Source organism: Homo sapiens, chromosome 2, assembly GCF_000001405.40.
Source record: "Homo sapiens chromosome 2, GRCh38.p14 Primary Assembly".
Lineage (NCBI taxonomy): Eukaryota > Metazoa > Chordata > Mammalia > Primates > Hominidae > Homo > Homo sapiens.
Window position 1 is genome coordinate 152550499 of NC_000002.12, and position 12038 is coordinate 152562536.

A 12038-nucleotide genomic window follows, 5' to 3' on the forward strand; every position below is an offset into this window, starting at 1 on the left:
AGAGAAGGTGAGTGAATTGCACAAAGTCTACAGCTGTAGAGCCAGGTGCTTTGGCTCAAGTTGCTCTGTTGTTTTTCCTGTATGACTTATGCTGGCAGCCGTTTCCCTGAAAGTAAATAAGATTATCAGGGATCTGGGATCAAAGCAATGAGGCTTGTCTGCTGGGGATGAACATGGTAGTAGTTTAATACTTTTGGGCATTTAGACTCAGCACATTTAAATACTTTCTAATATTTATGAATCAGGAGCTAGATTCGATTTTGTTTGGTCCAAACCTTTGCCTTTGGCCCTTTTAACTGAAAATGGTGGAATGAACTGCAGCCAAGATTTCTACAAATTGTCAAAAAGCATTTCTTAGGCTGTGCGTGGTGGTTCACGTCTGTAATCCTAGCACTTTGAGAGGCTGAGGTGGGTGGATCACCTGAGGTCAGGAGTTCGACACCAGCCTGGCCAACATGGTGAAACCCCATCTCTACTAAAAATACAAAAAATTAGCCAGGCATGGTGGTGCGTGCTTGTAGTCCCAGCTGCTTGGGAGGCTGAGGCAGGAGAATCACTTGAACCTGGGAGGTGGAAGTTGCAAGTGAGCCGAGATCATTCCACTGCACTCCAGCCTGGGTGACAGAACAAGACTCCATCTCACCGAAAAAAAAAAAAAAAAGCATTTCTTTAAGCATTGCCGAAGTAATGTGAAATTGACCATCAAATACAAAAGGAAGATGATCATTTCCAACACAAACTTGGCTGAATAGAAGAACCTTGGTTGGGTTGAAGCCAGTGCAGTCTGCAAGCAATTGGAGTGGTTTGTTGTTGAGGATACTATAGGCATATTGAAAGATTCTTAGATTTCTTTCATCCTTACCAGGTGAAGTTTTCCCTTGCCCACCATCTATGTGAGGAACTCTGAAAGCTTTGGCTTTAGCAGCAGAAAAATTCATGGAGATGCATTGTCTGATTATATGCAACCAATCACTAGCATAAACTTACGTGAAGTAAAACCACACAACCAGATTGTGACCATCTTGCCTGTTCTGAAAACCCAAACCTGAACTCACTCTTTGTTATGTAAACTAACTGGCTTGCTCTCACTTGATAGGGATATCTTCTGAAAAATTACTCAATAATGATGAAAATAATCAGTTACTAAAATGAAGAATTCTTGGAATGCAAGGTGCTATTTAAGGAAGCCATATATTTTATTGTACTGTTTAAAATACTGTAATAGATAGATAATTCAGTGAGTGTGGTGACCCACGCCTGTATTCCCAGTACTTTGGGAGGCCGAGGCAGGACGATTACTTGAGCCCAAGAGTTTGAGACCAGCTTGGGTAACATAGTGAGACCTTGTGTCTACAAAAAAATAAAATATTAGCCAGTCACAATGTCACGTACCTGTAATGCCTGGGACACTGAGGCAGAAGGATCAATTGAGCCCATGAGTTCGAGGCTGCAGTGAGCAGCCATTGCACTCTCTGAGTAACAGAGTGAGACCCTGTCTCTAAAAATAAAAAATCGGTGCCCATTTGCTCAAATTTTTGCTATGCCCCTTTCTAGTTATTTGACCTTAGATAAGTTATGTAAGTTTTCTGCACTTACTATGTGACCCAAGTTAAATTCTCATTGATAAAATTAGTATAATACTTACATCACAGGAATATTATAAGGATTAGATGACATAACTTGTAAATTCCTAATAAAGGGTCTGAAACATAATAGTTACTCAATATATGATAGTTGTTTGTTATGCTTGTTGCAAATAATTACCTGCAGTATTCAACAGTATTATATATCTCTAAGGATATACATCTCTTATATATATCTCTAAGGAATTCCCTAAGGCAGAGAGTATTATCATCTTTATCTAAAATGATCCTGACACCCAGGAGATTATGATACCCAGAAATTAAAAAGGAGGGATTACATTTACAATCTACTTGTCCTAAAAAAATTGTTCTGGGCACATGCTTGCTTTTCAACGTTAAAGACTTGAGCTTTCCCAAGATAACATTCTGAGCTGCAGCTTTGTCAAGCAAAGGACTTCTTCTGAGTTTTGATATAAGCCTAAAACTCTATAAATGGAACAATCTTCTGAGAAAGAAAATTAATTTTCTTTGAGTCAAATTGAAATAAGAATTGGACTAGAAATAATCCCATTCACTTACTCTTAGGAACTATAATAATAGAGAAGAATTGGATTATGACTTATCTAAGCTTTTGAAATTACTTGAAATACCCTTGAAATGATCCACATAGTGTTAGAATACACTAGCCATGCAGTGTGAGTAGGCAGATGCCATGGTGCTTAAGATGTCAGAGTGATAGGATTTAAATGGTGGTGAGGGTGAACTGGACAGATTTACCAGCTTTATTCTATGGAACTGATGTGTACACTGTCTCTCCTTGCAGGGAATTTATTGTAGTAAAGCTACCTATAATGATAGAAAATTACTTTTCATCCTCAGTGCAAGGTCACAGAAGTTCTGAAAGATGCTCATTTCACTTTCTCATTGTGGTGTAGAGAGAACAGGCATGAGATGGCAGAAGGAATGTGGCAAGTTGGCAAGGAGGGGAAGGAGGTTTGTAGAAAAGGGAAGATGCTGAGGAACTGCTTAGTTGATGTCTTCTCTCCTGCCCACCAGACTTCTTTATGAATCAGTGCTGGCTGAGCCAGGCCAAAAGAAGAAAGACAGGAGAGTGACAAAGGCTGCTTTTAACATGCATACAACACGTATGGGAGTGTATGTGTGTATCAAGCTGCCTTATGATTAACTTATTCCTAGATGGTACTTTTTTAGAAACCATCAAGGTTATAATCATTTTGTCATTTATTAAGCACGGTGTTAGGTACTTTACGTTTGTTATTCTGTGTATTTCCTACAAAAATCTTATTGACCATTAGCCCTGAATCCCTGTTTTATGGATGAGAATACTGAGGGTCATTTATTAAGTACCTTGCTCAATTCCACACAAGTTAGAAGCACCGAGATTTGAGCCTAGATACGGTCACTTCTAAAATTTATTACTAAACCAGCAATTCTCACATTTTTTTTTTTTTTTTGGTTTTAGAGTGCCTTTATACTTTTAACTTATTTTTGAACCCCAATAAGCTTTTGTTTAGATGTGTCAAATCTATTAATGTTTATAATATTAGAAATTAAAACTGATAAATTTTAAATGTCTTTAATAAAATGTAATATTTAATAACATTTAATTTAAATACATATAAAATAAATGTTATGTATTAACATAAATATTAATACATTATAAATTAAATGACATGTTTTATGAAAAATATTCTTCAAATCCAAAAAAAAATTGGTGACAAAGGCTGCATTGGTTTAATTTTTGCAAATCTCCTTAGCATCTGGTTAATAGTTGGCAGCTAGATTCTCCTGAGTCAACATTCAATTTGTCGTGATCTGTTTTGATTGATGTATATGTAGAAAATTGGGTCTTATACACACTTAGAGATGAGTTTTTTAAATGGTCTTTTCAGATAATTGGGATATTCTTTTTTTAGTAGTACCCCCAAAATTGAACGGCTAGTAACTAATTCTTACAGATAGCTATAATGTAGAGTCTGAAATCATATCAGTGAACTTTTTGTGCTCTGTTATATTAAAATCCATTGGCCAGGTGCTGTGGCCTGCAGTCCCAGCAACTTTGGAAGGCCAAGGTGGGCAGGATGGCTTGAGCCTGGGAGTTTGAGACCAGCCTGGGTAACATGGTGAACCCCTGTCTCTATAAAAAATACAAAAATTAACCAGGTGTGGTGGCATGATCCTGGAGTCCCAGCTACTCAGGAGGCTGAGGTAGGAGGATCACTTGAGCCCAGGAGGTTGAGGCTACAGTAAGCCATGATTGTGCCACTGCACTTCAGCCTCAGCAACAAAGTAAGACCCTGTCTCAAAAAATCCTTTGTGCTGTCTTACACTTTGATTGGGTCTTTTTATCCATACATGAACTTGTGACATGATTTGTTAACATCATGTTGGTCATTTGGAAGATCAGAATAACTCAGTAAAATCATGTTTCTCCACTGTTGAAGCATATCCCTTTACAATGTTTTTAAAAATCACATTTGTTAATAACCACCAGTCTGATTAGAATATATGTTAAGTATTGAGAAGCTGTCAAACTGACGGTGGTGAATACAGGTTTTCCAGAATTCTAGTTTTTGTTTGAAAGCTCAAAGTTGGTCATCAGCAACAAATACTGTGTTGTCCTTGAAAGGATGGGCTCACTTCATATTTGAGTAAATGTCTGCCACATACCCCAAACTGAATCACCATAGTTTGTCAGTTATTTTTACAAGTAAATTGACATTCCATGAAAAAATGGCTAGTTCAGCTCGCAACTCAAACAATTTCACAGGTGCTTTTCCTTGAGACAACTGTGCTACTTGAGCAGGTAGCAGAAGTACTTTATGTGAGCTTCCTGTTTTGTCACACTGAAAATGAAAAAGATGTGTACTAAATGAGTAAGCTTTAATAAAATCAATATTTTTTATTGCTTATCTAAGGGCGTTCTTAAGTGAAGCTGGCCTTTTCCCCCTCCTGAGTGCACGGAGTGACAAATACAATAAATAAGTGTCTTCTTTGGTTGCAGCAGTTTTATACAGTATTTCTTTGGCATTGTAAGTGTCAGTGTCAACAGATTGAAAACAACTAATGTCCTAATATTTTTGTGAAAACAGTTTTACCTTCACAGGCGCCCTGAGAGGGTTTCAGGGACCCCTAGTGGTATATGGGCTATACTTTGAGAATCAGTTTGCAACACTGCCTAACAGAGTAGATCTGATGACCAGTGTTGAATCCACACAGTGCTTCTTTCTCTTGCTTTTCATGATTTTTCATCAACTTCAGTTCCCAACATATGTCTGTAGGACCTCTCTCTAGAGGAGGCTGGCAAAAGGAATTAACTGCTTTTTCCTTTCTGTTGTGCAACTTTGGGCTACTTGGCTTGATCTTAGAAATTGAAAGCCAGGAACATCTCTTAAGACCTATATGAGGAGAAATAAGGTTCTAAGATTTGGGGAGACAGAACAAAGATTTGATATTAAGCTGTGACCAGCCTACAATAAAACAGTGACTGTTGGCATTGGCACTTACATCTCTTCCTTGCACCCAATTTCTTCCAGAGCTATTTGTCATTGTCCCTGTCTTTTCCAGCTCCTAAGCATCTGATTTAGAATTTGCCTAAATTCAGATGTACAGCATATGGTAATTACATTGAATCCGTGAGGCACTCAGGAAGTTATGCGTTCTGTCAGAGTCAGAAATAATTCAACTTTCCAAAACCTATAATCACCCAATTTGAAACTGTTTGCCTATTGGCAACATATTAAAAAGTGTGTGTAGCATGCACAGAGGTGAAATGGAACTAATTTGCTATGGGAACCCTGAATATATGATATAGTCCTTGCATGATCATTTACATAAATCTGCAAAATGAGGCATCCATATTCTTTGAATGCCTTTAGATTCCAGTTACTGCTTTGAAAGTTGCCCGTTTTTATCTTTACCTGTTTTCTTTCCTTACTCTTATATTTCTGTAGAAGTTCACTTTCAACTCCAATTGAAAATGGCCAGTTCTCTCCAATACAGAAAGTTCCAAGTCAAGAAGGGGTAGGGACTGAGATAATAGTTAGAAAAATGGGGGCTCTTTTTTCATGTCATCCATACCCTTATTGCTGAAATGACTTTGCTAAGCTAACCTGATACCATTTGATAAAGTGGGGAAGGTAGCCAGCCCTGAAAGACTGATCTCATTCTTTCCTAAAGCAGCTGGGGGTGTCAGGACTAGATCAAATCCCAGGGAGGATCTTGTAGCTTTGAAAAAGATGTTAACTGCATGAAATTAAATCAGGGGTAAAACATGTCACACTTTAGCTGACCTTTTAGGAGGTAGGCAGCAGGCTGTTACCTTTTACTCAGAAAATTGTCTTTGAGGCCCTTTCACTCAAAGTCAGGAAGTGGTGATGGGGGCATGGATAAGGACTCTGAAGTGAAGTAAGAGGAGCCAATGAGTATTCTTTATCCCTGCATTAAAACGTATGCATATTAGCATGTTAAGCGAATTGTAACTCTGGCTGTACTTGGCTATTTCCTACCTTAAAAAAATTTAGTTTTTCTTCTGTAGGTCACTTGCCTCTTGTCCAATTGGTGGCTGAACTTTCCAAGTGAGATGGAGGTGCCTGCCAGTAGTTGACACAAGGGCAGGCACTGAGTGCATTCTGAATGGTCTGCACTCTACAGAGGCTGCATCTGGAAAATCAACCAGAAGAAACGACAATGGCTGTTTCTCTTAGCTCCTAAATTAGTGTGTTCTTATGGGCCACTGAGAATATGTACAACTGAGACTGCCCTGAAAAATCTGCCCCCCTCCCCCCGCCGTGATTATTTTTCATATTAAAAAGACACCCACCACCGAGGGCCAGTTTAAATTGTACAATCACAGCCCATAGGCCACCAATGGAAAAGCCTAAGCAAGGCTAAGGGGCTTGAATTTAAAGATTTTCTAATCATCAGATTTTGATATTGAGTTCCAGACTTTAAGTCTCCAGCCAGTTACAAAAAAGAAAAAATTCTTTTTACTATTTCTAAGCTTCTAATTACTAGTATTTAAACGTGATCAGTGTCTCCTGAGACCTAGCACCACAGAAAGTACTTAAAATAAATAAAAAATAAGTATCTAGTAGGTGCTGTGAGATTGTGTATGTGGCTGTTTTGAAATGAAACTTCAGCCTCCACCAGTAGCCAGCCCTGTTAGTTTTGTCTAGGTCTCATAACAAAGCCACTTTGTGAGGCCTACCAGGTGGTATTTTCTTTGCCACCGTTGCCACTCCAGGTCTCTCTTAAATTAAATGTTATATGTTTACAGGCAGCTATGCCAAGTGCATAGGTTTTGCAGTTGCCTCTCTGAGGCGCTTGAGGGGAAAACACAAGGCAATCTTTCCACTTTCCCACTTTGCCGCCTCCTGGAACTACCTGCAGACCTGGGCTGGGTTTGCATCATGGAGATGACAGGACTAGAAGAAAGAATGACCTTGAGGATGAAACAAAGAACCCCTTCCCCCTGCCAAAAATTAAAACAAACAAACAAAAAACCAAATATCCTGATTCCATGGGATTGTTTTCTGCCTTTTAAGACAAAGACCTCAAGGGGTTGCTCATGCTTAAGGGATACTTGGTAGAATTGTCCTACTGTTATTTTAATAACTAACAAAACTGGCTTCCATAGTCACTATCATGTCCATAGCTGGTCAGACTTTTTAGCTTGGTGTTTCTGGAGGAAAGCAACCATTGTGGAATGCAGGTGGCAGATGTACCTCAAGTGGCATTTCAGCGATAGTAGTAGATCTTTTAACTTATTATTTGTTGGAGTTTGAAACTTAGTGAAGGTTTAATCAGGTACCATATGTTGTTTGAAGATGAATGCACTGGAGGAAATCTGTAAAAGGGGGTGGTGACATTTTACATCCATCTCCCTAAAGATTCTGTTTGACCTCCCATCAGGATTATTATGAAGAACAAATAAGAATGTATAAGCATTCTCCATGCACTGTGGAGCACCATTCAAATGCAAGGAGGTATTATTTAAAAATGAATTTTTTAAAAAACCTGATATTTGTCATGTGCCGGCCTTGATGATAGTATGCGGTGCCTGCAGCTTTTTAAAAAGGTTTTAACATTCATGGAAAAAGTTAAGCAAATCATTATCCCTATTGAATTTCTAGAAGCCCATAAACAGTGGTCTCTCATTGGCTAGTTTAGTGGTTTCTGTAGCTTAGTGTGCCAAGGACTTGAACTTGGATTTGGAATCCCGCCTGGATTTTTGTGGTTATGTTGTCATGTCCCCCATCTGCCTCATTGTCCATAGTCTTGCTTCCTTCCACAAGCAGGCTGTAGATCAATTGTGGTGGAAAAAGTACATTAAGCAAGTGCCTTCTTTAAAGAAAGTTTCTTACAGATTATCTTAAATCCTCTAAGCAGTAAAATGCAAAGATGGCCCACGTGTACTTTTTGGCCCTTATTTTTGCACATTAAAAAGTTGTGGTTTTCTTAGTTACCATATCTGAAAAGCTCCTGCCTCATGTGAAGTAGTCTAGGCCTTCCTCCCTATGTCCTTTCAGGCAATGAAAGTTTCTGGTGGAAAAAACAAAACTTTGCATTGTGTCCGTTCCATGGCAGGTCATGTGATCAATTTCTCCAATGATTTTTTTTTTTTTTTCCCCAACAGATGGGTCAGAGAATTTCTGAATGAAGAAAACAAAGGTCTTGATGTTCTAGTGGAATATCTCTCATTTGCACAGTACGCGGTAACGTAAGTAAAACTTGGCTTGCTTGCATTTGAATTTTATGTGGTCACAGCAGATGCTACTCAGTGGTAAAATTATACACCACAGAGAGGGCAGAAACTCAGAAGCAGATGTGCTAGGGCTTAGGGAGGTTTGTTTCTGTTTGGGTAACTAAAAACAAATCACATAATGGTATTAGAAATGCCTTTAAGGCAGAAGTAAAACAGGTGAATAAAAATCACTCTTAAAGGAGCCCTTATTTTCAAAAGTAACGCTTTCTTTAGGGCTTAAGTTACATATATGGAAGAATAGTCTAACAGTTGGTGAAAGAGGTATGTGATAAATCACTAGGCGATGCAAAAGAGTGACTCCCTTTTTCTTTTAAAAATGATGTCTGCATGTATATTTGCATATGCTAGTAAGTGCATAGAAAATGATTGCAGAAACAGATACCAAACGTAGTGGCACTGGAGGGAGAGGTAACAGGAGGCTGTTCCTTTTTCCTTGATATGCATTTGTATTGTTTTGATTTTCTGCCCATAAGCTGAAGGGGAGTAAAAACTGGAGTGCAGTGGCATGATCTCGGCTCACTGCAACCTCTGATCAAGTGATTCTCCTGCCTCAGCCTCCTGAGAAGCTGGGATTACAGGCACCCACCACCATGCCCGGCTAATTTTTGTATTTTCAGTAGAGACGGGGTTTCACCATGTTGGGCAAGCTGCTCTCGAACTCCTGACTTCAGATGATCCACCCGCCTCGGCCTCCCCAAAGTGTTGGGATTTCAGGTGTGAGCCACCGCACCCAACCTAGAAGCACTCATTTCTATGTGTGTTTCCTTTTTCTGCTGTGTGAGAGTGAGGATGAGCTGAGAGGAACACACGCTGAATGGCGTGGGAGCTGTAGAGTAGCCTAGCGAGGGCATCAATGCCACGAGTGATTTCAGGATGCCCTCCTCGTCTTACCTTCTCTCATCTCAGTGATTGCTTTCTCTTTTTAGCAGTTAAAATTTTATTAGATTACCCCATTCTAACTCTTTTATGTTCAGTATTACCTCCTGCAGCCAAAGGCATGACAGAATTGTGACCAGTTGCCTCCATGGACTTTGTGCATCTATCTCTGCTATCTGATTAGTCTTTTATAGGTGAAAGTCATCACCAATTTTCAGATGAAGGTTCTAACCAAATATTTTATTTTGGCAGTTATACTTTTATAAAAAGTTACACTTTGATTTCCAATATGTATTATTGTTTTTTCTTCTGCAGTATCCTCTAAGATTTTCCTGAGGATATTAAGTGTAGCTACCTTCTGATTGTTCTACTGTCTGATCAGGTGTTGCTATGGATAGAAACAATTAATACAATTTCTTTTTTTTTTTTTTCTTTTGAGAAAGCACAGTTACTTTGTGAGGGGGGAAATGCATGGAGCACAAAAGCCTGTCTGTTTAAAAACTTTGTTCCTAAAACTATACAAGAGTGAGCAAGTTAACTTGTCATTTATTCTAACATGGTTAACATGAGTAATAACCTCAAAAAATGTCAGAGAAACAACAGTCTTACTTTAAAGAGCACCACACTGGGAGGAGATTCCAAAATCAAAGCAAATCCATAACTTTGCTAGTAATGTATCACATATGCTTGGAAAAGTACACTTGCCAACACACTAGGAGAAAATGCTCAGTGAAAATTGATGGGTAGGAATAAATTAGTATAAGCCTAACATATTGACTTGTTAAAGCAAAATGAAGACAGCTGTAAGATCTTTTCCCCCTTCCATCATACCAATGTTAGTGACTTATATATTAGCAAGCCTTATAAAATAAAATACAAATAATATATCACTATTTAATTTTTGCTGCTCATTGTTCCATTATTCTTTTGCCAGACCCATTATTTGTCATTCTGTATTCTTAAAGCTAACACTGAGCCCATAGAAATTCCATTATATTTCCTTTCCAGTTTTCTTTGTTTACAAAGACTTTCCATACTAAGGTGCAGATGTCTTGTAGGAACAGCAAGTTATACATGTTCGTTTATACATGTGAATGTGAATTTTTCAGTCTTCAATGGCATTTCTCTTTTGTTTTAGTTTTGACTTTGAAAGTGTGGAGAGTACTGTGGAGAGCTCGGTGGACAAATCAAAGCCCTGGAGTAGGTCCATCGAGGACCTGCACAGAGGGAGCAACCTGCCCTCACCTGTGGGCAACAGTGTCTCCCGCTCTGGAAGACATTCTGCACTGCGGTGAGTTCGTTTAATCAGGAGGCAACTTTGGCAGGATGCACTGGGACAGCAGGCTCCTACTTCTTTTGATGATTCTGGGCACTGTATCTCATAAATTGCCATACAGCACTTTCATTTGCAATGACTCTAAATGAATGTTTCTTTAGGAGTTCATGGGATCTTCCCTTGGGCAATGTTTGATAACTTTAAATAGCTTCTGGAAACACCATACCTTGATTCAGCATAGAAGGTGGGAAAATTCTGCTGCCAAGTGATAGAACAGGATAGTCTCATAGGCAGATAAGGTTTTGAAACCAGGGGAATGTTGACATCCTGATGGAGGTACTGTTTCCAGGGTAGAGGCAGCACTTAGAGATCTGGGATCTCTGCCCTTTGTTACCCTTTGTCCTTCCGCTCTCTTTCATTTCTCCAGTGGTAGCTCAGGTTGTGTGCTGTGGGTGTTTTCTTAGCCATAGGTACAGAATGCTGTAGTGATAATTTTTATTAGTGAGATGCCATTAACCAGTGTTCCTTTGATTAGATATGCTTCACTTGTCAACCTTTTTTTTTTTTTTTGAGATGGAATCTCGCTCTTGTTATCCAGGCTATAGTGCAGTGGCACAATCTTGGCTCACTGCACCCTCCACCTCCCAGGCTCAAGCGATTCTCCTGCCTCAGCCTCCCAACTGGCTGGGATTACAGGCACCTGCCACCATGCCCAGCTAATTTTTTTTTGTAATTCTAGTAGAGGCAGGGTTTCACAATGTTGGCCAGGCTGGTCTCGAACTCCTGACCTCAGGTGATCTGCCCACCTTGGCCTCCCAAAGTGTTGGGATTACAGGCATCAGCCACCACACCCGGCCAGTTGTCAACCTTATATTTTCTCCTAAGTATTCCCTTTCTCATCTCTTCTGGCTAAAATAGTACCATGCTAAGGGAGGATTGGTGCTGACCACCTGTACTAGTAATGGGTTTAATATTGCTGAGGTTGTTCATTCACTCATACCTACAATCATTCATTCACTGAAAAATATTTTTGTGCTTCTTATTTGTCAGGCGTAACACTTAATACTAATTGTATGTTGGTGGATAAATCAAACTCCTGCCTATGAGGACAGAGATATCATCTAGAACAAGTTTGTAACGGTTTCTGTGGTTCATGATTTTAACATAAAATTTTATTAATAAGACCTTCATTCCAAAATGTTGCTTATTCTTTCCTTTCATTTTTTTCTACACTACCCCCTTACTTACTCTTTCTAGCTTAAAGTGTTTCTATCTTATTTCAGGCATGATCTGGCAAGAGGACATTATTTCTCTAAGTGTTTACGATCACTCCGGGTATTCAGTCATTGTTGTAGAATCCATATGTCAGATTGCAGCCAGTGAATATGTGGCTTTCAGACCTTTGGATTTGGTTGTCTAATTACCTCTTGTCCCTTTGACTTGGTTTTTGGTCATGGAAAGTTAAACATTTCTCTGTAATGAAGTTAAGTTCTGCTGAAGGATTTGATATTTGAGT

The 12038-nt window shown here is 39.1% G+C and overlaps 1 protein-coding gene across 13 annotated transcripts in view; it reads left to right on the top strand.

Annotated features, from left to right (window-relative positions):
- The window catches only part of FMNL2 (formin like 2), a 314653-nt gene that overhangs the window by 215325 nt on the left and 87290 nt on the right, over window positions 1-12038 (top strand). For 10 of the 13 annotated variants that reach the window (XR_241279.5, XM_011510531.2, XM_011510533.4 and 7 more), the window contains exons 5-6: window positions 8242-8325; window positions 10385-10537. Coding sequence is in view for 12 of the 13 variants with exons in the window: in XM_011510531.2 (XP_011508833.1) it covers window positions 8242-8325; window positions 10385-10537 (237 nt within the window). In the remaining variant the exon portion in view is untranslated. The remainder of the gene's footprint in view (window positions 1-8241; window positions 8326-10384; window positions 10538-12038) is intronic. The other 3 variants (XM_011510535.3, XM_047443113.1, XM_047443114.1) reach the window with 1 other exon arrangement.